Consider the following 25,405-nt stretch of genomic DNA (forward strand, 5'->3'; position numbering starts at 1 on the left):
ACCTCGACCCTCCGGCCTCCGTCTGCGATCTTCCCGTGCCTGAATATGAGGCTTGGAACAGACCCAGACCTTCCTGCCTGCCCGTCCTGAGTGGCCCCGGGACCCCGCCCCATCTTTGGCCCCCAGCCCCTGCCTCTCTGCCGCCTCCAGGGTCGGGGGTCAGGCCAGGAAAGCCCCTTGGGAAGCCCCCGGGGAGCAGCTGGAGCGGGGTCGCCGGGCGGCGGGAAGGAGTGGGCGCCTCTATTTAAGCGGCTTCCCCGCGGCCTCGGGACAGAGGGGACTGAGCATGGATTTCGGACTGGCCCTCCTGCTGGCGGGGCTTCTGGGGCTCCTCCTCGGTGAGAAGGGGAGGGGGCGCGGGAGAGAGGAGTGAGTTAGGAGGGGGCTCAGGAGAGAGGAGGGGGCTCAGGAGAGGGGAGGGGGCTCAGGAGAGAGGAGAGGGCCCGGGAGAGAGGAGGGGGCCCAGGAGAGGGGAGGGGGCTCAGTAGAGTGGGGGGGCTCAGGAGAGAGGAGGGACGCAGGAGAGAGGAGGGGCGCAGGAGAGAGGAGGGGGCTCAGGAGAGTGGAGGGGGCTCAGGAGAGAGGAGGGGCGCAGGAGAGAGGAGGGGGCGCGGGAGAGAGGAGGGGGCGCGGAGGGGAGGGGGCGCAGGAGAGAGGAGGGGGCGCAGGAGAGTGGAGGGGGCGCGGGAGAGAGGAGGGGGCGCGGGAGAGGGGAGGGGGCTCGGGGGAGAGGAAGGGGCGCGGTGAGCGGGGAGGGGACGCGGGAGAGAGGAGGGAGTTAGGAGGGGGCTCAGGAGAGGGGAGGGGGCTCAGTAGAGTGGGGGGGCTCAGGAGAGAGGAGGGACGCAGGAGAGAGGAGGGGCGCAGGGGAGAGGAGGGGGCGCAGGAGAGTGGAGGGGGCTCAGGAGAGAGAAGGGGCTCAGGAGAGAGAAGGGGCGCAGGAGAGAGGAGGGGCGCGGAGGGGAGGGGGCGCAGGAGAGAGCAGGGGGCGCAGTAAAGTGAAGAGGACTCAGGAGAGAGGAGGGGGCGCGGGAGAGGGGAGGGGGTTTGGAAGAGAAGGGGGGCTCGGGAGAGGGGAGGGGGCTCGGGAGAGGGGAGGGGGTTCGGAAGAGAAGGGGGGCCCGGGAGAGGGGAGGGGGCCCGGGGGAGAGGAAGGGGCGCGGTGAGCGGGGAGGGGACGCGGGAGAGAGGAGGGAGTTAAGAGGGGGCGCAGGAGAGAGGAGGGGCTCGGAGGGGGCGCGGGAGAGACGAGGGGTGCTCAGAGTTAAGGGGCTCCGAGATAGGGGGTGATTGGTGATCCTGCCAGAGGAGGGGGCTCGGAGGAGGCAGGGGCTGAGAGGGGAAGTTGCGGGGCTCCGCGCGGCCCCCTGACCCGCAGCGAAACTGGCTCCAGGCAGCTGGGGTTCGGGGGACTGGGGCAGAGGCGGCGGTCGGGGCGGGGTTCAGGGACCGAGCCTGGGAGTCCGGGTAGCGGCGGGGCAGGGGTCCGGGGGTGCAGCGGAGGGTCCGGGAACCGGGCAGAGGCGGGGCGGGGTCCGGGGGTGGAGCGGGACGCAGGGCCGGTGGCGGGGCGGGGTCCGGGACTCCGCGGGGCTGAGCGAGAGCCGCGGTCGCCGCAGGCCAGTCCCTCCAGGTGAAGCCCCTGCAGGTGGAGCCCCCGGAGCCGGTGGTGGCCGTGGCCTTGGGCGCCTCGCGCCAGCTCACCTGCCGCCTGGCCTGCGCGGACCGCGGGGCCTCGGTGCAGTGGCGGGGCCTGGACACCAGCCTGGGCGCGGTGCAGTCGGACACGGGCCGCAGCGTCCTCACCGTGCGCAACGCCTCGCTGTCGGCGGCCGGGACCCGCGTGTGCGTGGGCTCCTGCGGGGGCCGCACCTTCCAGCACACCGTGCAGCTCCTTGTGTACGGTGAGGCGTCCCCCCGCGCCCTGCCTCTCTGACCCTTGGACTCCCGGCTCCTTCCCTATGCCACCTCTTCCTGGAAGCCTCCCAGATTGCAGGCAGGGTCCCAGCTCCATGCACAGCTCCCCGAAGCCAGGTCCCCGGCCTTCGCTTCCCTCCAACTCACCCCAACTCTCCCAGGGCCGGCCCTGGCCCATCCTCCTGTCTATTCCAGCCTCCCAGGGTGGGGCCACGGGGCCTGCGCACAGGCCGTCCCTACTGCCTGTTCATCAGCAGCCCCCACGCATCCTTGGCCCCAGCTCCAAGCCCCTCCGGGCTCCGGCCCCTCCATCACGTCCAGCCCTGACTCTGGGCTCAGCCCTCACCCCCGACCCTCCATCACAGCCTTCCCGGACCAGCTGACCGTCTCCCCAGCAGCCCTGGTGCCTGGTGACCCGGAGGTGGCCTGTACGGCCCACAAAGTCACGCCCGTGGACCCCAACGCGCTCTCCTTCTCCCTGCTCGTCGGGGGCCAGGAACTGGAGGGGGCGCAAGCCCTGGGCCCGGAGGTGCAGGAGGAGGAGGAGGAGCCCCAGGGGGACGAGGACGTGCTGTTCAGGGTGACAGAGCGCTGGCGGCTGCCGCCCCTGGGGACCCCTGTCCCGCCCGCCCTCTACTGCCAGGCCACGATGAGGCTGCCTGGCTTGGAGCTCAGCCACCGCCAGGCCATCCCCGGTGAGTCCGCTGGGTGCCCTGGAGACCCACCCGCTCGCCAGCCTTGACAAGCACTTCGGGACGGGGTGGGGGGGTGGGGGGGCAGCACCTGTGCTGTGGGGCGCTGGGAGGACTGGATTCCCCCACGCAGCGACAGCGACATTCATCGACGCAACATGTATTTGCCGAGCACCTGCCCCCCAGCACAGGTCCCACCCCTCCCCTGCCCACAGCGCTCCATGGCTCTTGCCTTGGGGTCAAAGCCCAAGTCCTCCCGGGGGCCCACAGGAACCTGCACGACCTACCCTGTCCCCTTCCTGTCCTCCCTCCACCCTTTCTCCCCCTCCTCATTCTGCTGCAGCCACACGGGCCTCCTCGCCTCCTCGCTGTTCCTCCAACACACCAGGCGTGATCCTGCCCCGGGGCCTTTGCACGGCTGTGCCCTCTGCCGGGAATACCCTTCTTCCGGATCTTTCCACGGCTCTCTCCTCCTCCCCCTCAGGTCTCTGTAGAATGTTGCCTCCTCCGTGAGGCTTCCCTGGATTCCCGTTTAAAGGGTCAACCCCTGATCCCCAACGTGTACAAACATAGGCACACAAGCACACACATGTACAAACACAGACACACACACGCGTGCACACAGGCACACACGCACACGCGTGTACAAACAGGCACACAAGCACACACGGGAACAAACGCACACACCCACACGCGTGTACAAACACAGGCACACAGGCACACGCGTGTACAAACACGCACACGCGTGTGAGCCCCCTTTCCCTTCTGTTTCGTTTCTTGACACCTTGGATAACATCTGACATCCCCCAGTCCCGTACATTCTCTTTTCCATGACCTTCTCCCACTGTGGCTCCCCAGGTGGGAATCTTGTGTCGCGCACGGCTGTGTCCACAGAAGCTAGAACAGGGCCTGGGGCATAGCAGGTGCTCAATAAACCCTTGCTGAATGCTCGGATGAAGACATTTAATGTGGGCCGGTGCCCTGGCGGTGCTCCCTTCACGCTCTGTCCAATCCCGAAGCCCCTGCCGGCTTCTCCCACTAAAGAAAAAGGGATTTGTCCTCCCATGGGGCACCCTGATACCCATGTTAATGGACGTGAGGTCGTGAGTTTCAAGCAAAGGGCTCCCGGGGATAAAGCAGAAGCTGGGAGACCCGGGAGGTCTTTGTGGTGGGGGTGGGGCTGGGGTGGGCAGAGAGGAGGCTGGATTTGAGGGATATTTTACAGAACACGGGCCCTCACGGGCCTCAGTCTCCCCATCAGTCCCACAGGGGATGGAGCAGAAGGCCAGGGCAGAAAGCCCCCAAGCACCTTCTCTCTCCACGCCAGCCTCCTCCCAACTCTCCTCGTCCACAGCCCATCATAATAAACGCGGGACCCACTCGCTCTCAGGGCAGCCCAAAGAGGTGACTCTCACCCCTTTGACAGTTGAGGAAACTGAGGCACGTGGAGATTAAGGAGGCTGCTGGGGTGATGTTGCCAGTGAGTGGGGGACCTGGAATGCCCGGACTCCCATCCTGCCCACTGTGGTGCCTCAGCTTCCTCATCTGTCCAGTGGACTTCCCTGACTGTGGGTCCTTTGTAAATTTCAGGGACCATGTGGATTTCAAAGCACTTTATAAATTATAGGCTTTAGGCCGGGCTCACGCCTGTAATCCCAGCACTTTGGGAGGCTGAGGTGGGTGGATTACCTGAGGTCAGGAGTTCAAGACCAGCCTGGCCAACATAGTGAAACCCCATCTCTATTAAAAATACAAAAATTAGATGTGGCCAGGTGCGGTGGCTCATGCTTGTAATCCCAGCACTTTGGGAAGCTGAGGTGGGTGGATCACGAGATTAGGAGATCGAGACTAGCCTGACCAACATGGTGAAACCCCGTCCCCTACTAAAAATACAAATATTAGCCTGGCGTGGTGGTGAGCGCCTGTAATTCCAGCTACTCAGGAGGCTGAGGCGGGAGAATCGCTTGAACCCGGGAGGCGGAGGTTGCAGTGAGCCGAGATCGCACCATTGCACTCCAGCCTGGGCAACAGAACGAGACTCCATCTCAACAACAACAACAAATTCTAGGCTTTATCAACTAGAACAGTAAGCCGAATAGAAACAAAAATGTAGGCCAGCCATGGGAGGCTGAGGCGGGAGGATCACTTGAGTACAGGAGTTCCAGACCAGCTTGGGCAACATACGAGACCTCCCATCTCTACAAAAAAATTTAAAAATTAGCTGGGCGTGGTATTGCACACCTGTGGTCCCAGCTACTCAGGAGGCTGAGTGGGGAGGATGGCTTCAGCCTGGGAGGTTGAGGCTGCAGTGATCCATGATCACAACACTGCACTCCAGCCTGCACGACAGAGTGAGACCCCATCTCTAAAAAAAAAAACCAGGCCGGGCGTGGTGGCTCACGCCTGTAATCCCAGCACTTTGGGAGGCCGAGGTGGGTAGATCACCTGAGGTTGGGAGTTCAAGGCCAGCCTGACCAACATGGAGAAACCCCATCTCTACTAAAAATACAAAATTAGCCAGGTGTGGTGGCAAGCGCCTGTGATCCCAGCTACTCCAGAGGCTGAGGCAGGGGAATCGCTTGAACCTGAGGAGCGGAGGTTGTGGTGAGCCAAGATTGCGCCACTGCACTCCAGCCTGGGTAACAAGAGCAAAACTCTGTCTCAAAAAAAAAAAAAAAAAAAAAAAAAAAAAAAAGAATAAATGGAAATGTGACTCACCAGAGTGGTCCAGGGAAGGGGCTTGGAGGGGTTCTGGTCCAAGCCCTTCATCCAGATGCGGAGATTGAGGCAGGAGAGGCAAGCCTGGGGCAGCAGAGAGGAAAAAAAAACCCTCACTCTGTTTCCAGTCCTGCACAGCCCGACCTCCCCGGAGCCTCCCGACACCACCTCCCCGGAGTCTCCCGACACCACCTCCCCGGAGTCTCCCGACACCACCTCCCAGGAGCCTCCCGACACCACCTCCCCGGAGCCTCCCGACAAGACCTCCCCGGAGCCCGCCCCCCAGCAGGGCTCCACACACACCCCCAGGAGCCCAGGCTCCACCAGGACTCGCCGCCCTGAGATCTCCCAGGCTGGGCCCACGCAGGGAGAAGTGATCCCAACAGGCTGTGAGTTCTGGTCCCTGGGGGCAGGGAGGGTGGGAAGGGCTGAGAGCGAGAGGTTCCTTGGATGAAGACTTTAGACAAGAAATTGCCCTGCCCAGCCTTGGTTTCCCCGTCTGCCCAGCCTCAGTTTCCCCGTCTGCCCAGCCTCGGTTTCCCCATCTGCCCAGCCTCGGTTTCCCCGTCTTTCCAGCCTCGGTTTCCCCATCTGCCCAGCCTCAGTTTCCTTGTCTGTCCAGTGGGCTTCTCTTAACTGTGGGTCCTTTTTGTAAACATCAGGGACTGTGTAGATGTCAAGGCACTTGGTAAATTCTAAGCCTTGTAGACTAGAAGAATCTTTGGAATAGAAGCAGAAACAATGCGGCCACATAGGTAATTTCTTTCCTTTTTTTTTGTGAGACAGAGTCTCGCTCTGTCCCCCAGGCTGGAGTGCAGTGGTGCAACCTCGACTCATTGCAACCTCCGCCTCCTGGGTTCAAGCGATTCTCCTGCCTCAGCCTCCTGAGTTGCTGGGATTACAGGCACCCATCACCACTCCCGGCTAATTTTTGTATTTTTAGTAGAGATGCGGTTTCACCATGTTGACCACGCTGGTCTCCAACTCCTGACCTGAGGTGATCTGCCCGCCTCGGCCTCCCAAAGTGCTGGGATTACAGGTGTGAGCCACTGCACCCGGCCCACATAGGTAATGTTAGAAATGCTTGTCCCCCAGTGCCACAAAGAAATAGCACTCAAACAAATTTAATTCTCTCAGCAAGGCCACTTTTACTTTCTGCAGAAAGGGTGCTCATTGTAGACGGAACAATGGCGAGAGCACAGCTGAACAAAGGAAAAGCAGACATATTTATCCCTCACACATTTGGGTCGCCCTTACTGCTGTGTCCTGCATCCACTGGCTGGAGCAGGATATCACACTCTTAAACTGATACCCAGTTTGCTAACAACCTAAAACTTTCCTAAGTAGGTAAGCGCAAAGGAGGACAAACAAGGAGAGGAAGTTGCTTACGAAAGATTTGAGGAAGCAGTAACATTTCCAAATAAGGAAGGGGCATAAGCTATGAGCTAAGACTTCCCTGGGACTCTCCAGATATGCCTGGGTAAGCCCAAGCAACTAACTGGGCTAAAGTGTAAGAACTAATAGCTGATAGGAGGCTTTAGAGTAAGAAGCTATTATTTCTAGTGTCTATGTCTATTATTTTATTTGTAAATCAAGACGAGCTTTGAAGAGGAACTTTTCTACTTCCTACAGGTAATTTCAAATTTAAAAGTAAAGGCAAGGCATGAACCCGGGAGGTAGAGCTTGCAGTGAGCCGAGATCGCGCCACTGCACTCCAGCCTGGGGCACAGAGCGAGACTCCATCTCAAAAAAAAAAATGGGCCGGGCACGGTGGCTTATGCCTGTAATCCCTGCACTTTGGGAGGCCAAGGCGGGCGGATCACGAGGTCAGGAGATCGAGACCATCCTGGCTAACACGGTGAAACCCCGTCTCCACTAAAAATACAAAAAATTAGCCGGGCGTGGCAGCGGGCGCCTGTAGTCCCAGCTACTCGGGAGGCTGAGGCAGGAGAATGGCGTGAACCTGGGAGGCGGAGCCTGCAGTGAGCCGAGATCGCGCCACTGCACTCCAACCTGGGAGACAGCAAGACTCCGTCTCAAAAAAAAAAAAAAAATTAAAAGTAAAAATAATGTGGTCGGGCCAAGCATGGTAGCTCATGCCTGTAATGCCAGCACTTTGGGAGGCCGAGGCAGGAGGATCACTTGAGCCCAGGAGGTTGAGGCTGCAGTGAGCTGAGATCACACCTGGGTGACAGAGCAAGACTCAGTCTCAAAAAAAAAAGTGTTGGCCAGACACGGTGGCTCATGCCTATAATCCTAGCACTTTGGGAGGCCAAGGAGGAGGATCACCTGAGGTCAGGAGTTCGAGACCAGCCTGGCCAACATGGTGAAACCTCATCTCTACTAAAAATACAAAAATTAGCCAGGTGTGGTGGCATGTGCCTGTAATCCCAGCTGAGGATTACTCGGGAGGCTGAAGCAGGAGAATCACTTGAACCCGGGAGGCGGAAGTGGCAGTGAGCTAAGATCACGCCATTGCACTCCAGCCTGGGGGACAGAGCAAGATTCCATTTCGAAAAAAAAAAAAAAGTGTGGTCATACATTTCGCAGAGCCCAATATATCCCAAGCATTATCATTTCAACAGGTAATCAATATAAAATAGTATGAAGGAGATATATTACATTCCTCCCTTTTCCCCAGACTAAGTCTTCAAAGTGCAGATTGTAGGCTCAGCACCCTTCATGGTGGTGAGCCGTCCTCTCTCCGGTCTGCCCTTTTTTTTTTTTTTTTTTTTTTTTGAGAGACAGAGTCTCATTCTGTCACCCAGGCTGGAGTGCAGTGGTGCGATCTCAGCTTACTGCAACCTCCACCTCCCGGGTTCAAGTGATTCTCCTGCCTCAGCCTCCCAAGTAGCTGGGATTACAGGCGCCTGCCACCATGTCCAGCTAACTTTGTATTTTTAGTAGGCACAGGGTTTCACCATGGTCAGGCTGGTCTCGAACTCCTGACCTCGTGATCCACCCGCTTTGGCCTCCCGAAGTGCTGGGATTTCAGGCGTGAGCCACCCCGCCTGGCCTGGACTGCCCATTTCTAAACTCTAAGGTGCTATGCGCATTTCAAAAGGGTCATGGTAAAGTCCTTTGTGAAATTTCAGGGAACGTGGTAACTTTGGAAGCACGTGTAGCCTCTGAGGGGCTCCTCCCTTCCCAAGCCTGCAGAGGCCTGGAGGGCTCTGACCGGGGTCTCCTGCACTCTCTCCCCAGCGTCCAAACCTGCGGGTGACCAGCTGCCCGCGGCTCTGTGGACCAGCAGTGCGGTGCTGGGACTGCTGCTCCTGGCCTTGCCCACCTATCACCTCTGGAAACGCTGCCGGCACCTGGCTGAGGACGACACCCACCCACCAGCTTCTCTGAGGCTTCTGCCCCAGGTGTCGGCCTGGGCTGGGTTAAGGGGGACCGGCCAGGTCGGGATCAGCCCCTCCTGAGTGGCCAGCCTTTCCCCCTGTGAAAGCAAAATAGCTTGGACCCCTTCAAGTTGAGAACTGGTCAGGGCAAACCTGCCTCCCATTCTACTCAAAGTCATCCCTCTGTTCACAGAGATGGATGCATGTTCTGATTGCCTCTTTGGAGAAGCTCATCAGAAACTCAAAAGAAGGCCACTGTTTGTCTCACCTACCCATGACCTGAAGCCCCTCCCTGAGTGGTCCCCACCTTTCTGGACGGAACCACGTACTTTTTACATACATTGATTCATGTCTCACGTCTCCCTAAAAATGCGTAAGACCAAGCTGTGCCCTGACCACCCTGGGCCCCTGTCGTCAGGACCTCCTGAGGCTTTGGCAAATAAACCTCCTAAAATGATACAAACGTGTCAGTTTTCTCAGTTGACACCCACTCCGTGGAGAGGAGAGGTCTGAGGGCTCCGGACAGCAGAGGGTTGACTGTGGGTCCTGCCCTGATGGCTCCATCTCCCTCATCCCACAGTCCGGGGCTGGAGAAGAAAGTGTTAGAAATGCTTGTTCCCCGGTGCCGTAAAGAAATAGCACTTGAATATAAATGTCATTTCCTCAGCAAGGCCACTGTTTTACTTTCTGCAGAAAGGGTACACTGGCCAGCAGTTTTGCCACGAGAGTATCCAGAACAAAGGAGACAGGGTCATTTATAACCTGACGCGTCCACCCTACTGCTCTGTCCGGTTTCCATTGGCTGGAACGGGACGGTTTCCATTGGCTGGAACGGGACCTCACATTCTGTATTTATCCCGATCGGCTAGCAGCTTGGAACTTTTAAAAAGAGGCAAAGGCAGAGGAGAACAAAGGAAGGAAGAAGTAGCTTGTGGAATGCTAAGAAAGGTAAAAACACCTTCAAATAAGGAAGAGGAACAGGTTATGACCTAATGCTTGCTTGGACCAGTATAAGCATGCCAGGGCAGATATTTAGCCTACATTGTGGGCACTAAGAACATAAAGTATGTTGATTTCCTTATTACATTATATATATTCAATATAACATTAACAATTAATTAACAAAGAATGTTAGCACAGGTCTTTTGTTTGTTTGTTTTTTGAGACAGAGTCTCGCTCTGTCGCCCAGGCTGGAGTGCAGTGGCGCGATCTCGGCTCACTTGCAAGCTCCGCCTCCCGGGTTCACGCCATTCTCCTGCCTCAGCCTCCCGAGTAGCTGGGACTACAGGCGCCCGCCACCACGCCTGGCTAATTTTTTGTATTTTTAGTAGAGACGGGGTTTCACCGTGTTAGCCGGGATGGTCTCGATCTCCTGACCTCGTGATCCGCCCGCCTCGGCCTCCCAAAGTGCTGGGATGACAGGCGTGAGCCACCGCGCCCGGCCTACCACAGGCCTTTGAATACATTTTGCTTCTAAGAGAAGTTACTATTTATTCCTAATTAGATGGGGAGGAAAGTCTCATTTGAAGAGGAACCTCTACTTCACGTTTTACAAAGGGCATTTGGTCTGCCCGCCAGAGATTCCTGTGCTGGGAGGATGGTGGAACGGTCCCCCGGCAAACAGCTCTCATTGCCCCCTGCCCGGGGCAACGCCCCTGAGGGACGGGGACGGCACCCAGCAAGCTCTGCCCGGGGCGGGGAAACGCGAGGGCTTAGTGGTTTCCTCGGTGAGAAGCTTAACCAGGAGTCCCCGAAAGCAGTGAGGGAAGATCCACAGAGGTCGCCTGGGGAAACACACCCAGAGGCGGCTTATGGAGGAGACTGCTTGTGTTTTGAGGTGGCTGCGGGCTGCGGAGGGTTGGGAGGGCCGGGAGGGCGGCCGGAAGCGAGGTCAGGCGATGAAGGCCTGGAGGTGCCAGCCCGGGGGCCCTGGAGAGCCATGGCAGAGTTTACAGCTCTGGAGGCTGCGGTGTCAGAAAGCTCCCTCTGGCGGTCAGGGGGTAACAGCGCGGGATGCTCGCCCGTGTGGCCGCCAATAGGGGCTCAGCGCAGCTGCAGCGGAGCTGGGGAGGGGGCTTCTCCCACGAGGTGAGCTACGCACTCAGACGTTGACTGAGTTAGGCGGAAGGCCAGGCTGAGCTCGACCCCCAGCACCAAGGCTCAGAGATGAACATGAGAAAAGGGTCTGGGGGCCGGGCGCGGGGCTGGGTCCAGCAGTCCTGGGCAGGTCCAGCCCCGCGCATGCTCCGTCAGGCTTCTCTGCTAACCAGGGAGACTGGTTGCTAGGAGACCATGCTAATGAAGGACTCGCTCACTACCCAAATGGCAAGCAATCCGGCTTTGTGCCAGAAACGAAGCACTTCCGAGGCAGCCATTTTGGAGTCTGGCAAAATTCAGGACCGAGGCCAAAGCCAGGAGAGCCAATCAATATACACAAAGAGGGAGGAGAAGAGAGAGTGCCAATAAGGACACAAGGAAAGTGGTAGCGTACCCTTGTCACTTCCCAAAGTCTCCCAGCGGGATACCGGTGCCCTCTGCCCTTAATCAAGATGGCCGCCTTGGGGGGGCTCTAGCGCACAGTGGAATATGGCGGTGCTTCCGGTCCCGCTGCCCTCAGCGAAGATGGCGGCAGTGGAGAAGCGGCGGCAAGCGGTACCACCGCCGGCCGGTTTCACGGACAGCGGCCGCCAGTCGGTATCCCGGGCGGCGGGGGCGGCCGAGAGCGAGGAGGACTTCCTGCGGCAGGTCGGCGTGACGGAAATGCTACGTGCGGCCCTGCTGAAGGTGCTGGAGGCGCGGCCCGAGGAGCCGATCGCCTTCCTGGCTCACTACTTCGAGAACATGGGCCTGCGCTCGCCTGTAAACGGCGGCGCCGGGGAGCCCCCGGGCCAGCTCCTGCTGCAGCAGCAGCGCCTGGGCCGCGCGCTATGGCACCTTCGCCTGGCCCACCACTCCCAGAGGTGCGCAGTGGGCCGGCTTGGGCGGGTGGGGCAGCGATGGACTTCAACTCCCAGCATGCCGCGCGCGGCTCCCTACCCGCAGCGCCGGCGCAGGGGCCCGGGGCTTGCTGGGAGTTGTAGTGCGCGATGCCTTCTTGGGTGGGATGGATCGGACAAGGTGGGCTGGAGGGTCCGGGCTTCGGTCCGGCGCTAGGCAGCGCGCTGCATGCGGCGCGAGTCCTTCTGGCCGGCTTCGCCTTCTGTGATGCCTTTTTGCAGGTGCTGAGTTTCCCCTTGCAGTTCATGATTTTCAAAATCGTGCAGCTCAAGAGGACTTGGCCCGAGGTCGCAGAGCCAGCCCCCGAGCCAGGTCCTCCTAGTCGCCTCCTTAGCAGCCTCATGTTATCCCCGTCCATTCAGCCAGAACGTGAATATTTACAGAGAGCAGCGCAGTCACCCAGGGCCCCCATCTTAGGGGACAGGCTCCCAGCGGGCAGGTGGGGATTCCTGGAAGAGCCTGGCGATGTGCGGGCGGGTTGCAGGGAAGAGGCCCAGCAGGTGCAAATTTAGACCCCGAGTGTGGGGCACACGGGAGGCGGGAAAGCCACGGAATTTGGCTGAAGCATGCGAGGCTGCAGGTGCCTACGCGCGGTGTCCCCTGGCTGGGGCCAGTTCTGAGCCCAGGGAAGGTGGTTGGGGACTATCTGTTGGCGTTGGGGATGGATGGGCTGATGTCTTTTGTTGGGGGGGGGGTCCCCAGAAGCGGAGCCTGAGGTAGGCATTGTGTGTGCAGGTGATTTTACAAGGGGGTGCGCCCAAGAGAACCCAGGAAGGGGGTGGGAAGAGCAGGCAGGGAAGGATGCCAAGCAAAGGTGCCCTTTCAGCCTCATAACCAGGGCATAAGCGCCCACCATGGCAGCCCTCGCCAGAGTCCCAGAGAAGTTCGGGGGGAGAAGAGAGATGGGGAGTGTCCCCCCTACCACGTTCAGGGTGCACAGGTGTCCAAGATCATACTCAGATAAGGGTGGCAGGGTGTTGGGTACCTGGACAAGGAGCAGACTTGCTCCGGTGGCCCAGTGGCTCTGAAGGCCCCGCCCGATGATTTGCTGGAGCCAGGTGGGAGGGGAGCGGGCAAGGGCAGGCCCAGAGGGTCAGTGGAGCCGTTTACTGCGATGGAAGGCCCCTGGTTTGAAGAAGCTGCCAGAGCCACTTGCGGATTAAGTTGGAGGCTGGGAGGAGCCTGGAGACAGGAAGGTAGAAAGAAGCGTCTGCAACTGACGTGGGGCCAGGACAGAAGACTGAACTGGAGGGGTCCTGAAGTCTTCAGGAGAGATGAGAAGAGCTCAGGACCCCACTCTGAGGGCACCTAGCCCAGAGAGCCCACCAGAGAGGGTGAGAACGTGAGACCAGAGGTGAACGGGGAGCAGGAGGAAGATGGCCTCCCAGGACATCCGGAAGAGAATCTCCCAAGGAGGAAAAGGGGTCAACAGCAGGCCCACCACGTATGGTTGTTCAGGTTGAGCACTGCACAAGCCACTCACCCCGTAGACACTGCAGATGAGGATATTTATATTTATATTAATTTCCGAGGGCTGCTGGAACAAATTACCTCCAACTTAGTGGCTTAAAACAACAGAAATTTATTCTCTCACAGTTCTGGAGGGCAGAAGTCTGAAATCGGAGTGTCAGGAGGACCACACTCCCTCTGGAGGCTCCAGGGAAGGAGCCTTCCTTGCCTCCCCAGCCTCCAGTGGCGGCCAGCAGTCTTTGGCTTGTGGCCACATTGCTGCAGTCTCTGCCTCCGTCGTCACGTGGCCTCCTGTGTGTCTCTGTTCTGTGTTCCCTCATAAGGACACCACTAGGCCCCACCCTACTCCAGTGTGACCTCAACCGCCTACATCTGCAAAGCTGCTGTCTCAAATAAGCTCTCAGTCTGAGGTTCTGGATGGGCGTGAGTTTGGTGGGCACCAGTCACCCCAGGACAGGAGTGGAGCCATTGGCTGGAAGAGTTCTCATAGCAGGGACTCAGGGCAAGGGTGGTGCTGGTGGCAGATGCATCCCGGCCCTGGGCTCGCCTGGGCTCCCCAGAGACACAGCCAGTGGGGAATGCAGAAGACAGGTGCACAGACCTGCGTGGCATCTGATTCTGTGCTCATGGAGCCAGGCCTGCTCCCGTCCTCCCAGCAGGCAGCTCCGGCCGCCCCTCCATCCTTGGACCGTCAGGAACCCCTGAGGTCACCTGACCAGTCAGGAAGAGAAGCCCAGAGCAGCCGGGCGCGGTGGCTCACGCCTGTCATCCCAGCACTTTGGGAGGCCGAGGCGGGCGGATCACAAGGTCAGGAGATCGAGACCATCCTGGCTAACACGGTGAAACCCCGTCTCTACTAAAAATACAAAAAATTAGCCGGGTGTGGTGGCGGGCGCCTGTAGTCCCAGCTACTCGGGAGGCTGAGGCAGGAGAATGGCATGAACCCAGGAGGCGGAGCTTGCATTGAGCCGAGATCGCGCCACTGCACTCCAGCCTGGGCGACAGAGCGAGACTCTGTCTCAAAAAAAAAAAAAGAGAAGCTCAGAGCCTGGCAGATTTGTCCCCACTCAGTCCAGTGTGTTGACCCCCAAAGGCTGAGGGGCTGACTGGGGCTGCTCCTGAGAGCATCACCGTGGTAGGCTGGGGGAGAAGTCACCCCAGATCCTCCCTGGCACCTTCTTTTGAGAAATGGCAAGCTCCGGCCGCCAGGGCTGGTGATGGCAGCCACAGTGTCCCCCTCCTGCCACCTTCCTGGTCGTCTCCAAGGCCCCCTGGAGCACACACACAGACGTTACATGACTTGCTGAAGGCCACACGGCCACCGAGGGCAGAGCTGGGGTCAGAGAGCCCCAGAGTGCAGCCCCGGAGGCCTCCTCAGCCACCACGTTGCTCATCCTGGCAGCAAGGGCTGCACTGCCCCCTGCAGGTCACTGCCAGGAAAACGTGCACGAAAACGAAGCCCCAGCTGATCTGGGCCAGGGTTCCCCCGACTCGTCCTCTGGGGGCCGTCCTGGGTACTGCAGGGCCCTGAGCAGCGTCCCTGGCCTCCACCCACTCCTTGCCAGGAGCTCCCCGAGTCGTGACAACCACAGATGTCCCAGACACCGCCCGGCGTCTGCTGGGGGCAGGAGTGGGAAGCAGAAGTCTAAGGTGTAGGGTGGCTCCTGTCTCTTTCTGGAGACGTTCCATAAATAGAATCTTTCCTGTATTAACAAATGCTCACACGCCTTACAAACCGCTCTGTGTAGGAGCCGACACAGACGGAGCCCTGGCTGGGCTCCCGCTTTCCATTTTGCAATCAGGGAAACCAAGGCCCAGAGGCCACCGTCACAGGCAGAGCTGACGTTCCAGCCCCGGCCTCCTCCTCCGAGCCCAGAGCTTGCTGCCTTCCTCTTCCTCCTCCTCCCTCACCCGATGATTCTGCTGGGAGCCGCCCGGGAGCCCAGGAGGGGCGGGTATGCGGCCGCCTTGAAGTGGGCTGTCACCTTCCTGTCTCCTGCCGTCATCATGGCTGTGATCTCACCAGGCTGTAATTACCTCTTTGTGTGTCTTCCTGCCCCTCAAGGCAGCTGTGGCTGAGCTGCAGCCCTAATTACAGCCCAAAATAAGCAGGTGGGGCCTCCCACACGTATGCCAGCTGCTGTCCTGAGCACCTGGCTCCAGCCCCGTTCTCCCGTCCTCACAAGAACCCCCACTCCGTAGATGCACAAGGCCAGGTGCAGAAAAGGAGAGTGCACACAGCTGGGAGGGGCAGACGAACACCCGAGGCAGGCCTGGGCCAGGCACAGAGCCCTGCACACCGAGGGGCCGCGTGGATGCTTGCGGAGCTGGACCAGGGCTGCCGCCCCCAGAGAGGAGAGCATTTATGCAGAAGTGGTGGTGGATGGCGCTGGGTAATCCCGGCCCACAGACCTGTCAGTCAGAAGCTGCGAGCACGACAGGAACCAACAACCCCAAACCTCAGTGGCTTCAACACAAGCAAAACTCTTCTCGCTTACTCTGCAGGGGACGTCCAGTTGTTTTTTTGTTGTTTTTTTTGAGATGGAGTCTGGTTCTGTCACCCAGGCTGGAGTGCAGTGGCGCGATCTCGGCTCACTACAAGTTCCGCCTCCTGGGTTGACGCCATTCTCCTGCCTCAGCCTCCCGAGTAGCTGGGACTACAGGCGCCCCCACCACACCCGGCTAATTTTTGTATTTTTAGTAGAGACGGGGTTTCACCATGTTGGCCAGGCTGGTCTTGAACTCCTGACCTCAAGTGATCCACCCGCCTCGGCCTCCCAAAGTGCTGGGATTACAGGCATAAGCCACTGTGCCTGGCCCAGTTTTCTTTTTGAGCCAGGGTCTTGCTGTCACGCAGCCTGCAGTGCAGTGGTGCAATCCCAGCTCACTGCAGCCTCGACCGCCTGGGCTCAAGGGATCCTCCCACCTCAGCCTCCCAAGTACCCGGGACCACAGACGCACGTCACCACACCTGGCTGATTTTTAAATTTTTGTAGAGACAGGATCTCACTATGTTGCCCAGGCTGGTTTCGAACTCCTGGACTCAAGCAATCCTCCTGCCTCGGCCTCCCAAAGTGCTGGGCTCACAGGCAGGAGCCACGGCACCCCCACCCACCCCCCACCAAGGGCTTGTCTGATCTTGACACGCACCTGCAATCATGACCACAGAGAAGTGGACTGAGAAGTAGCACGATGGCTCTTAACATTCCCGCTGAAAGTGGGCCACGCCCCCTCGCACGTTTCAGGGGGCAAAGCAAGGCCCAGAGGCTCACCCTCGGCGGGGTGGAGAAGTGGCGGGTGGAGAAGTGGCGGAGGGATCCGCGGAGCAGCGCTGCCGTCGCCAGCCTTCGAGATGCCCCTGCAAGCCTCGGCTCCCGGGGTTCACGGCCTGGTGCCGTCCCTTCCCCCTGCACAGCCGGAACGGGACTGCAGAAGCAACGGACAGAGTGTGGCCTCCGAGGCGGGTCACGAAGGACATCGTGGTGTCCCCCTCCCTCCTGGGTGGGTTGCTGGCTCGGCTGGGCAGCCGCCATGCGGTGGGGTCGCTCGCGCAGCTCCCAGGGAGCACCTGCAGCCGCTGCCAAGAGCCGCGCGGGTTCCCCTGCGGGGGACTGGGCCGCCTCGCGTCGAGCCCCGGGGGAGTGTGGCCACGGCAACCTCCTAAGAGACCCCAAGCCAGAGCCTCGCAGCAAAGCCGCCGCCGAGACGCTGTGTCAATAGTAAATGCTTGTTGGTTTTGGGCCTCTAGGTTTGGGGTGTGATCTGTGAGGCGGCAGCAGCCTGCCCGGCCTCACAGCAGATCCTGATGAGAGGGGCCCCGGTGCGGCTCCTGCTGGGTCATGCGGAGAGGTCAGGCGTGATGGGAGCTCGGGCCGCCGCGCTGACACTGCGACTGCCCCCAGCGCATTTTGGGGATGACCTCATGGATGGTAAAAGCGCCCAGCGGATTATAAGGGCCAACAAATGGGGCCTTTACTACTTGGGAGGGAAAAGGAGCGTACAGCCAGATGGGCCTAGAGTTGAATTGCAGGTCGCTGCCCTCCTGCCTCTGGGCCTCAGTTTCCTCCTCCATAGCAGAGCTTTGACCCTCGAGCTCGCTGAGATGGCACGTCCATCCCTAAGCCCTGAACTGAGCAGCAGTGATGACCAGGGAGGCACGTGTTCACCAGGCACCCACCGTGCACCGGCCCAGCATTACTGAGCACCTACTGTGCACCCGCCCAGCATTTACTGAGCACCTACTGCATGCCGGCCCTGCATTACTGAACACCTACTGCACACCAGCCCAGCATTACTGAGCACCTACTGCATACTGGCCCTGCATTACTGAGTACCTACTGCACACCAGCCCAGCATTACTGAGTACCTACTGCACACCAGCCCAGCATTACTGAGTACCTACTGCACACCAGCCCAGCATTACTGAGTACCTACTGCACACCAGCCCCACATTTACTGAGCACCTACTGCACACTGGCCCCACATTTACTGAGCACCTATTGCATCCTGGCCCAGCATTTAGTGAGCACCCACTGCACACAACCCCAGCATTACTGAGCACCTACTGTGCACTAGTCCTGCATTACTGAGCACCTGCTGCACACCAACCTGCCCCGGCCCCACATTTACTGAGCACCTATTGCATGCTGGCCCAGCATTTACTGAGCACCCACTGTACACAGACCCAGCATTACTGAGCACCCACTGCACACTGGCCCCACATTTGCTGAGCACCTACTATGTACCAGCCCTGCATTCACTAAGCACCTACTGTACACCAGCCCTGTATTACTGAGCACCCACTGCACACTGACCCTACATTTACTGAGCACCTATTGCATGCTGGCCCAGCATTTACTTCACTCCCACTGCACACCGCCCCAGCATTACTGAGTACCTACCGTGTACTGGCCCTGCATTCACTGAGCACCTACTCTACACCGGCCCTGTATTACTGAGCACCCACTGCACACCGACCCCACGTTTACTAAGCACCTATTGCTTACTGGCCCAGCATTTACTGAGCACCCACTGCACACCGCCCCAGCATTACTGAGTACCTATTGCACACCAGCCCCACATTTACTGAGCACCTATTGCATTCTGGCCCAGCATCACTGAGCACCTACTGTGTACCAGCCCTGCATTACTGAGCACCTGCTGCACACCAACCCTGCATTTACTGAGCACCTACTGCATGCTGGCTTAGCACTTCCCCGGCACCTACCACAGGTGGCCCACAGAAAGGTGAAGTCGTGTGCCCAGGTCATGCCGGAGGGAAGGCTGCCCTCCTCACCATGAAGCTGAGCTCCCAGAAGGGAAAAGCGTAAGCCCTGAGGTTGGCCACTTCCTCTCTGGGACCCTTGGCCAGACCATGGGGCTGCCCTGAGCCTCAGTTTCCCTATATGTCCCAGAGGAAGTAACAGGCCACTAGCATGAGGCCTGGCCGGGAACTGATGGGGGGAGTGAGGCCAGGGGGTTAAGCAGCCCACCCAGGGTCCTGCAGCGGCCCCCACGCTGGCCACGGTGCTCCCTGGCCACTCCCTGGTGCCCTCCACGGGAGTGTGTGTCACACTACCAGCACACGAGTGGCACGTAGTAAGGCCTCAGGCTCCTCACTGGGGCAGGGAATCGAACCCACCCCAGAGCCGGCAGCAGGGCTGACAGCCTTCTTCTGTAAGGGGCCAGATAGTGAACATTTCAGCTTTGCGTGGCAGCCTCCATCCTGACATTCAGCTCTACGGTTCTGGTCGGAAGCTGCCACAGGCCACATGTCAGCGGACTGATGTGGTTATGTTCCGATAAAGCTTTATTTACAAAAGCAGGCAGCAGGTCGTATTTGACCCTCAGGCTGACTGTGGGGCCTTGCCTGTGGGATTGTGGGGAGAGAAATACCACCACTGGCCCCGAGCAGCAACTGTCACCTGTAATCCCAGCAGTTTGGGAGGCTGAGGCAGGAGGATCGCTTGAGCCCAGGAGGTGGAGGCTGCTGTGAGCCCTGATTGTACCACTGCTCTCCAGCCTGCACAACACAGTGAGACCCTGTCTCAAAAAAAAAAAAAAAAGAAAAAATGCAATGTCAGCTGTGTTAAATGTTCAGCACAGACTGGGCGCAGTGGCTCACACCTGTAATCCCAGCACTTTGGGAGGCCGAGGTGGGCGGACCACGAGGTCACTCGAGATCCAGACCATCCTGGCCGACATGGTGAAACCCCGTCTCTACTAAAAATACAAAAATTAGCTGGGTGTGGTAACACACGCCTGTAATCCCAGCAGCTCAGGAGGCTGAGGCAGGAGAATCGCTTGAACCCGGGAGGTGGAGGTTGCTGTGAGCTGAGATTGTGCCACTGCACTCCAGCCTGACAACAGAGTGAGACACTGTCTCAAAAAAAGAAAGAGGGCCGGGCGCGGTGGCTCACGCCTGTAATCCCAGCACTTTGGGAGGCCGAGGCGGGTGGATCACGAGGTCAGGAGATCGAGACCATCCCGGCTAAAACGGTGAAACCCCGTCTCTACTAAAAATACAAAAAATTAGCCGGGCATAGTGGCGGACGCCTGTAGTCCCAGCTACTTGGGAGGCTGAGGCAGGAGAATGGCGTGAACCCGGGAGGCGGAGCTTGCAGTGAGCCGAGATCCCGCCACTGCACTCCAGCCCGGGCGACAGAGCGAGACTCCGTCTCAAAAAAAAAAAAAAAAGGAAGAAAGAAAGAAAGAAAAGAAAAAAACAAATGTCAGTTGTGTTAAATGTTGGGCACAGTATTTGGCCACATGTAAACAGGCGCTGCTGCTGCAGGGAGGGAGACCAGAGGGTCCTGGTGTTGTGGGACAAAGAGTGGAGAGACCGAAAAAGGTTCAGGAGAGTTTATCAAGGTGATCACCGGCTCAGCTGGACATACATCCAGAAAGTCTGAGCCTCGAACAAAGGGCTTTTCCTATTTTTAAACATCGTAAGGCGGGAACTACGTGAGGCGGGAAGCAAGTTACAGAGGCGAGAAACAAAGGCAGTTAAGCATTACAGCATTTCTTTTTTCTTTTTCTTTTTTTTTTTTTTGAGACGGAGTCTCGCTCTGTCGCCCAGGCTGGAGTGCAGTGGCGCCATCTTGGCTCACCGCAACCTCCACCTCCCAGGTTCAAGCGATTCTCCTGCCTCAGACTCCCGAGTAGCTGGGACTACAGACGTGTACCACCACGTCCCGCTAATTTTTGTATTTTTAGTAGAGATGGGGTTTCACCATGTTGGCCAGGATGGCCTCAATCTCTTGACCTTGTGATCCTCCCACCTCGGCCTCCCAAAGTGCTGGGATTACAGGCGTGAGCCACCGTGCCTGGCCAACATTTCTCACATCTTGAGAAAAACATGTCTTACAACCTAAACTTATCGGTTTTGTGACCCTGCAGCCGTGCTAGGGAGGTAAGCAGGAACTCGCTGGGCCTGTAATAAACTGAGGAATGTGGAGTTGGAGAGTATAGATAAGGTCCACTGACTACAGAGAGAAGACAGGCTGTTAACATTCTCTTTTAACTTGAGTGTAAGGGTGGGGGTCACACTTTGCAGCAACTTTAAGAGGATTTTAAAATTTCTATGACTACTACTATTAGGTTAGAGCTGATTTCACTAATTCCTTCTTCACTGGGGCCAGATGCCCCAGACAGATGCCTGCCGTTGATTCAAGACATTTACTGAGCACCTACTGTGGGCAGGGCAGTGTTCTGGGCACCAGGGCTATAACCAAGACGAACTTCCGGCCCTGGAGGGCAGGTGCTCACACTGGTGGGAGACATGAAGCTCACAGGGATGTGGGACAGCGAGTGAGACAGGATGACCACTAGGAAGAAAACAGGAGGAAAGGAGTTAGGGGTCAGGGGAGGCGACATTTGAGGAGAGACCTGGAGGAGACCAGGGAGGAGGTGAGGGAGATCTGGGGGAAGGCAGTGTCACGGCCCTTGCAGAGGCCCTGAGGCCGGTCCAGTTGGAGCTGGGAAGCCAGGGCTGGATGGGAGCTGCGGGGAGGAGAGGCCTGAGCTGGGTGGAGGCTGGGAGGGGGGAGGCCAGGCTGGGTGGGGGCTGGGAGGGGGGAGGCCAGGCTGGGTGGGGGCTGGCCAGGCTGGGTGGGGGCTGGGAGGATGGAGGCCAGGATGGGTGGGGGCTGGAAGGGGGGAGGCCCAGGCTGGGGGGTGCTGGGAGGACGGAGGCCAGGCTGGGTGGGGGCTGGGAGGGGGGAGGCCAGGATGGGTGGGGGCTGGGAGGAGGGAGGCCAGGCTGGGTGGGGGCTAGAAGGGGGGAGACCCAGGCTGGGGGGTGCTGGGAGGACGGAGGCCAGGCTGGGTGGGGGCTGGGAGGGGGGAGGCCAGGCTGGGGGGTGCTGGGAGGAGGAGGCCGAGGCTGGGTAGGGGCTGGGACGGGGGAGGCCAGGCTGGGTGGAGGCGGGGATGAGGGAGACCCAGGTTGGGAGGAGGAGGCCGAGGCTGGGGGTGCTGGTGGGGAGGGGAGGCCCGGGCTGGGCGGTGCTGGGAGGAGGGAGGCCAGGCTGGGTGGGGGCTGGGAGGAGGAGGCCCAGGCTGGGTAGAGGCTGGGAGGAGGGAGATCCAGGTTGGGAGGAGGCCCAGGCTGGGTAGAGGCTGGGAGGAGGGAGATCCAGGTTGGGAGGAGGCCGAGGCTGGGGGTGCTGGTGGGGAGGGGAGGCCCAGGCTGAGGGGGTGCTGGGAGGAGGAAGGCCTGGCTGGGTGGGTGCTGGGAGGAGGGAGCCCCGGGCTGGGGGGTGCTGGGAGGAAGGAGGCCAGGCTGGGTGGGAGCTGGGAGGAGGGAGGCCCAGGCTGGGAGTGCTGGTGGGGTGGGGAGGGGAGGCCCAGGTTGAGTAGGGGCTGGGAAGAGGGAGGCCCCGGCTGGGTAGGGGCTGGGAGGAGGGAGGCCAGGCTGGGTGGGAGCTGGGAGGAGGGGAGGTCCAGGCTGGGTAGGGGCTGGGAGGAGGGAGGCCCAGGCTGGGAGTGCTGGTGGGGTGGGGAGGGGAGGCCCAGGTTGAGTAGGGGCTGGGAAGAGGGAGGCCCGGGCTGGGTAGGGGCTGGGAGGAGGGAGGCCTGGGCTTGGGATACTGGGGGGAGGAGAGGCCAGGGCTGGGAGGGGGCTGAGAGGAGGAGGCCTGGGCTGGAGATGCTGGGGGAGGAGAGGCCCAGGCTGGGGATGCTTGGGGGAGGGAGGCCTGGGCTGGGAGGGGACTGGGAGGAGGGAGGCCTGGGCTGGGGATGCTGGGGGGAGGAGAGGCCCGGGCTGGGGATGCTTGGGGGAGGAGAGGCCCGGGCTGGGGATGCTGCGGGGAGGAGAGGCCCTAGCTGGGAGAAGGGAGGCGGGGGCTCAAGAGAGGAGCTTCAGGGATAGAGGGTGAGGAGGAGGGGAGGCCGGGGATGGGGGGTAGGAGGAGAGGGGAGGCCAGGGCTGGCTGGGGGGTCGGGGAGGCTAGGGCATAGGCCTGGCGAGGAGGGGAGGCTGGGGCTGGGTGGGCGCGCGGTCTCTGCCGGCCCCCAACGTCCCCGTCTCCGCAGGGCCGCCTTCAACAACAACGTGAGCGTGGCCTACGAGTGCCTGAGCGCCGGCGGGCGCAGGAAGAGGCCGGGGCTGGACGGGCGCACCTACAGCGAGCTGCTCAGGCGCATCTGCCGGGACGGCCAAGCCCCCGAGGAGGTGGTGGCGCCGCTGCTGCGCAAGGTGCAGTGCCGTGACCACGAGGCGGTGCCGCTGAGCGTCTTCCGCGCGGGCACACTCACCTGCTTCGTGCTGCTGGAGTTCGTGGCGCGCGCCGGCGCGCTCTTCCAGCTGCTGGAGGACTCGGCCGCCGCCGTGGCCGACCGCCGCGTGGGCCAGGCCGTGCTGGACACCCTGGAGGGCGCGCTGCAGGCCAGCGACGCCGCCGCGCCCGCGCGCTTCCTGGAGGCCGGCTCGCGCTTGGGGCCCGACAGCCTGGCGCTGGCGCTGGACCGCGCCGTCGGGGGGCGGCGGCCCAGCGCGCCCATGACCCGCGAGGAGTTTCTGGAGAGGGCCGCCGCGCTCTTCATCGCGAAGGTCAAGCCGGTGGGCTGAGGCCCGTGGGCCGCGCGGATCCGGGATCTGCGCTGGGGGGTCCCCGCGTGCGGGGCGCGCGGAGCCTTCCCTTCGCCCTGGTGAGGCCCTGCCATAACCAGGCGCCCAGCCCTGCGGAGGAGGCCGGGGCTCCCAGGAAGCGGACGCCCGGTCCCCACACAGCGCCGCGGCCGCCCCTCCACCCCCGCGGGAGCCCCTGCCCCACGCTAATAAAATGTGTTGCGAGGCTGACGCTGGTGTGTATGCGAGCGCCCGCCTCCCAGCCCCGGTGCCCGCAGAAGACGCTTTTCCCCAGCAGGTCACCCACGGCCCCGGAACCGCGGCGACTGGAGGCTGGATTCGAGGCCGGAAACGCCGGGACCCCTGGACCCGGCCTGGTGGGAGCAGCGGAGGGGGACGCCCCACGGGGCCCTGCGGAGCCTGAAGCCGGAGAGCAGGCGGCTCTTCTGGAACGCAGGGCCCGGGCCCTCCAGCCCCGCCCGGCCCAGGTATCCTCCCTGAGCCTCAGTCTCCCCAGATGTCAAATGAAGAGGCCAGCTGGGCAGATGGTAGTGACATTGGTGAGACAACAGCCCTAACACTTCCCAGGAACTGAAGTGCCTCATGTGATTGATTCCCAGGCCCAGGCAGCGGAGGTTACACCCTCAGCAAGGGCTCAGCTGGGATCTGCGCCCGGCCTGCTCCAGAACGCAGCCCACTCGCCACCGGTGGGGAGGGTCGTCCGGTATCCCCCAGTGCCCACCACCACCAACCAGAATCACTTCTCAGACTGCAAGAGCGAATCCAGCCGGGCGTGGTGGCTCACACCTGTAACCCCAGCACTTTGGGAGGCTAAGGCGGCGGATCACTTGAGGTCAGGAGTTCAAGATCAGCCTGACCAACATGGTGAAACCCTGTCTCTACTAAAAATACGAAAAAAAAAAAAAGCTGGGCTGTGGTGGCAGGCGCCTGTAATCCCAGCTACTCAGGAGGCTGAGGCAGGAGAATAACTTGAACCCAGGAGGCAGAAGTGGCAGTGAGCCGAGATTGAGCCACTGCACTCCAATCTGTGCGACAGAGTGAGACCCTGTCTCAAAAACAAAACAACAACAACAAAAAAAAAACAGGCCAGACGCAGTGGCCCACGCCTGTCATCCCAGCACTTTGGGAGGCAGAGGCAGGTGGATAACGAGGTCAGGAGATGGAGACCATCCTGGCTAACATGGTGAAACCTTGTCTCTACTAAAAATACAAAAAATGAGCCGGGCGTGGTGGCGGGCACCTGTAGTCCCAGCTACTCTGGAGGCTGAGGCAGGAGAATGGCGTGCACCGAGGAGGCGGAGCTTGCAGTGAGCCGAGATCGCGCCACTGCACTCCAGCCTGGGTGACAGAGCGAGACTCCGTCTCAAAAAAATAAAAAAATAAAAAGTGAATCCAGAACTCCAGCTCCAGTTGCTGGCAGGTGACTTCACTCCCTTGGCCTCAGTGTCTCCTGTTAAATGGGAGTCCCCACAGCCTGTTCTGGTGGAGGGGGTCCAATCGGACATAGAGAACACTCAAGCCTTGTTTCTCCCCTGCTGTCACCGCCACATCACAGTCATCCACACAGAAAAGACTTCTGTGACCACATGTGGGAGCGTTTTTTCCCACACACCAACCAGCAGACGCCAGCCGGGTGTCCTCTTAATTCAGCTCTGACGCCTTCTACCCAGAGATAGTGTCAGATCCCACAGGCCGAGGGCTCAGTCCCCGAGCCTCTCCCTCTTCAGACACCAGTTGCGAATCTGGGCTTCCAGGACTTCGGTCTGGCCGGGTTCAAGTTGGGGTTCCCAGCACCCCTTTGGGTTCAATTAATTTGCTGGAGCAGCTCACTGAACTCGGAAACACTTGTGTTTCCTGGTTTACTATAAAGGATGTGGCAAAGATAGCAGAAGAAGGGACCACAGGTGAGGTACGTGTAGGGTGGGGATTGGAGTGCCATGAGGATGCACAGGGCACCATCTCAGAGCTTCCAGGCATCTCCACATGTTCAGCTCTTGGAAGCTCCCCAGAACCCAGTTCTCTAGGGTTTCGTGGTTTTTTGTTTGTTTGTTCATTTTTGAGACGGAGTCTTGCTCTGCCACCCAGGCTGGAGTGCAGTGGCGCAATCTCGGCTCACTGCAACCTCCCCCTCCTGAGTTCAAGCGATTCTTCTGGCTCAGCCTCCTGAGTACCTG

General features: G+C 60.0%; 2 protein-coding genes and 1 long non-coding RNA gene across 5 annotated transcripts, besides 10 other annotated features; 2 read left to right on the top strand and 1 right to left on the bottom strand.

Annotated features, from left to right (window-relative positions):
• Positions 1-272: 272 nt before the first annotated feature.
• On the top strand, positions 273-9,130 carry MADCAM1 (mucosal vascular addressin cell adhesion molecule 1). 2 transcript variants are annotated; one of them, NM_130760.3, is made up of 5 exons: positions 273-338; positions 1,620-1,904; positions 2,283-2,612; positions 5,456-5,716; positions 8,532-9,130. In NM_130760.3, exons 1-5 carry the CDS (start codon positions 287-289, stop codon positions 8,750-8,752), a joined length of 1,149 nt encoding a protein of 382 aa, NP_570116.2. In that variant the 5' UTR covers positions 273-286; the 3' UTR covers positions 8,753-9,130. The 2 variants fall into 2 exon arrangements, with proteins under 2 accessions (NP_570116.2, NP_570118.1); NM_130762.3 differs by lacking the exon at positions 5,456-5,716.
• Positions 3,556-11,676, bottom strand: MADCAM1-AS1 (MADCAM1 antisense RNA 1). 2 transcript variants are annotated; one of them, XR_936221.4, is made up of 3 exons: positions 11,163-11,676; positions 5,328-5,411; positions 3,556-3,647 (listed from the first exon to the last, which is right to left on the bottom strand). It is a non-coding gene; the product is annotated as an MADCAM1 antisense RNA 1 (long non-coding RNA). The 2 variants fall into 2 exon arrangements; XR_007067073.1 differs by having other exon boundaries at positions 3,556-5,411.
• Positions 10,360-11,217: an enhancer, noted in NCBI's record as "H3K27ac-H3K4me1 hESC enhancer chr19:506573-507430 (GRCh37/hg19 assembly coordinates)". NCBI's record gives its function as "activates a minimal SCP1, AML or CMV promoter by ChIP-STARR-seq in primed H9 embryonic stem cells {active_cell/tissue: H9 hESC(primed)}" and the evidence as "EXISTENCE:reporter gene assay evidence [ECO:0000049][PMID:30033119]".
• Positions 10,360-11,429: a biological region, named in NCBI's record as "H3K27ac-H3K4me1 hESC enhancer GRCh37_chr19:506573-507430".
• Positions 10,430-10,559: a silencer, noted in NCBI's record as "silent region_9603". NCBI's record gives its function as "represses an Ori minimal core promoter by ATAC-STARR-seq in GM12878 lymphoblastoid cells {active_cell/tissue: GM12878}" and the evidence as "EXISTENCE:reporter gene assay evidence [ECO:0000049][PMID:35858748]".
• Positions 11,090-11,429: an enhancer, noted in NCBI's record as "active region_13557". NCBI's record gives its function as "activates an Ori minimal core promoter by ATAC-STARR-seq in GM12878 lymphoblastoid cells {active_cell/tissue: GM12878}" and the evidence as "EXISTENCE:reporter gene assay evidence [ECO:0000049][PMID:35858748]".
• Positions 11,284-23,441, top strand: TPGS1 (tubulin polyglutamylase complex subunit 1). Its single transcript, NM_033513.3, has 2 exons — positions 11,284-11,631; positions 22,676-23,441. Exons 1-2 carry the CDS (start codon positions 11,294-11,296, stop codon positions 23,208-23,210), a joined length of 873 nt encoding a protein of 290 aa, NP_277048.2. The 5' UTR covers positions 11,284-11,293; the 3' UTR covers positions 23,211-23,441.
• Positions 14,267-14,566: an enhancer, noted in NCBI's record as "active region_13558". NCBI's record gives its function as "activates an Ori minimal core promoter by ATAC-STARR-seq in GM12878 lymphoblastoid cells {active_cell/tissue: GM12878}" and the evidence as "EXISTENCE:reporter gene assay evidence [ECO:0000049][PMID:35858748]".
• Positions 14,267-14,710: a biological region, named in NCBI's record as "Sharpr-MPRA regulatory region 4509".
• Positions 14,416-14,710: a silencer, noted in NCBI's record as "tiled region #4509; K562 Repressive DNase matched - State 5:Enh". NCBI's record gives its function as "represses a minimal TATA promoter and a strong SV40 promoter by Sharpr-MPRA in K562 cells {active_cell/tissue: K562}" and the evidence as "EXISTENCE:reporter gene assay evidence [ECO:0000049][PMID:27701403]".
• Positions 14,865-15,705: an enhancer, noted in NCBI's record as "H3K27ac-H3K4me1 hESC enhancer chr19:511078-511918 (GRCh37/hg19 assembly coordinates)". NCBI's record gives its function as "activates a minimal SCP1, AML or CMV promoter by ChIP-STARR-seq in naive H9 embryonic stem cells {active_cell/tissue: H9 hESC(naive)}" and the evidence as "EXISTENCE:reporter gene assay evidence [ECO:0000049][PMID:30033119]".
• Positions 15,706-16,547: an enhancer, noted in NCBI's record as "H3K27ac-H3K4me1 hESC enhancer chr19:511919-512760 (GRCh37/hg19 assembly coordinates)". NCBI's record gives its function as "activates a minimal SCP1, AML or CMV promoter by ChIP-STARR-seq in naive and primed H9 embryonic stem cells {active_cell/tissue: H9 hESC(naive and primed)}" and the evidence as "EXISTENCE:reporter gene assay evidence [ECO:0000049][PMID:30033119]".
• Positions 22,245-23,151: an enhancer, noted in NCBI's record as "H3K27ac-H3K4me1 hESC enhancer chr19:518458-519364 (GRCh37/hg19 assembly coordinates)". NCBI's record gives its function as "activates a minimal SCP1, AML or CMV promoter by ChIP-STARR-seq in naive H9 embryonic stem cells {active_cell/tissue: H9 hESC(naive)}" and the evidence as "EXISTENCE:reporter gene assay evidence [ECO:0000049][PMID:30033119]".
• Positions 23,442-25,405: the final 1,964 nt, after the last annotated feature.

The sequence above is a fragment of the Homo sapiens genome, chromosome 19 (genome assembly GCF_000001405.40).
Source record: "Homo sapiens chromosome 19, GRCh38.p14 Primary Assembly".
NCBI classification, from domain to species: Eukaryota; Metazoa; Chordata; class Mammalia; order Primates; family Hominidae; genus Homo; species Homo sapiens.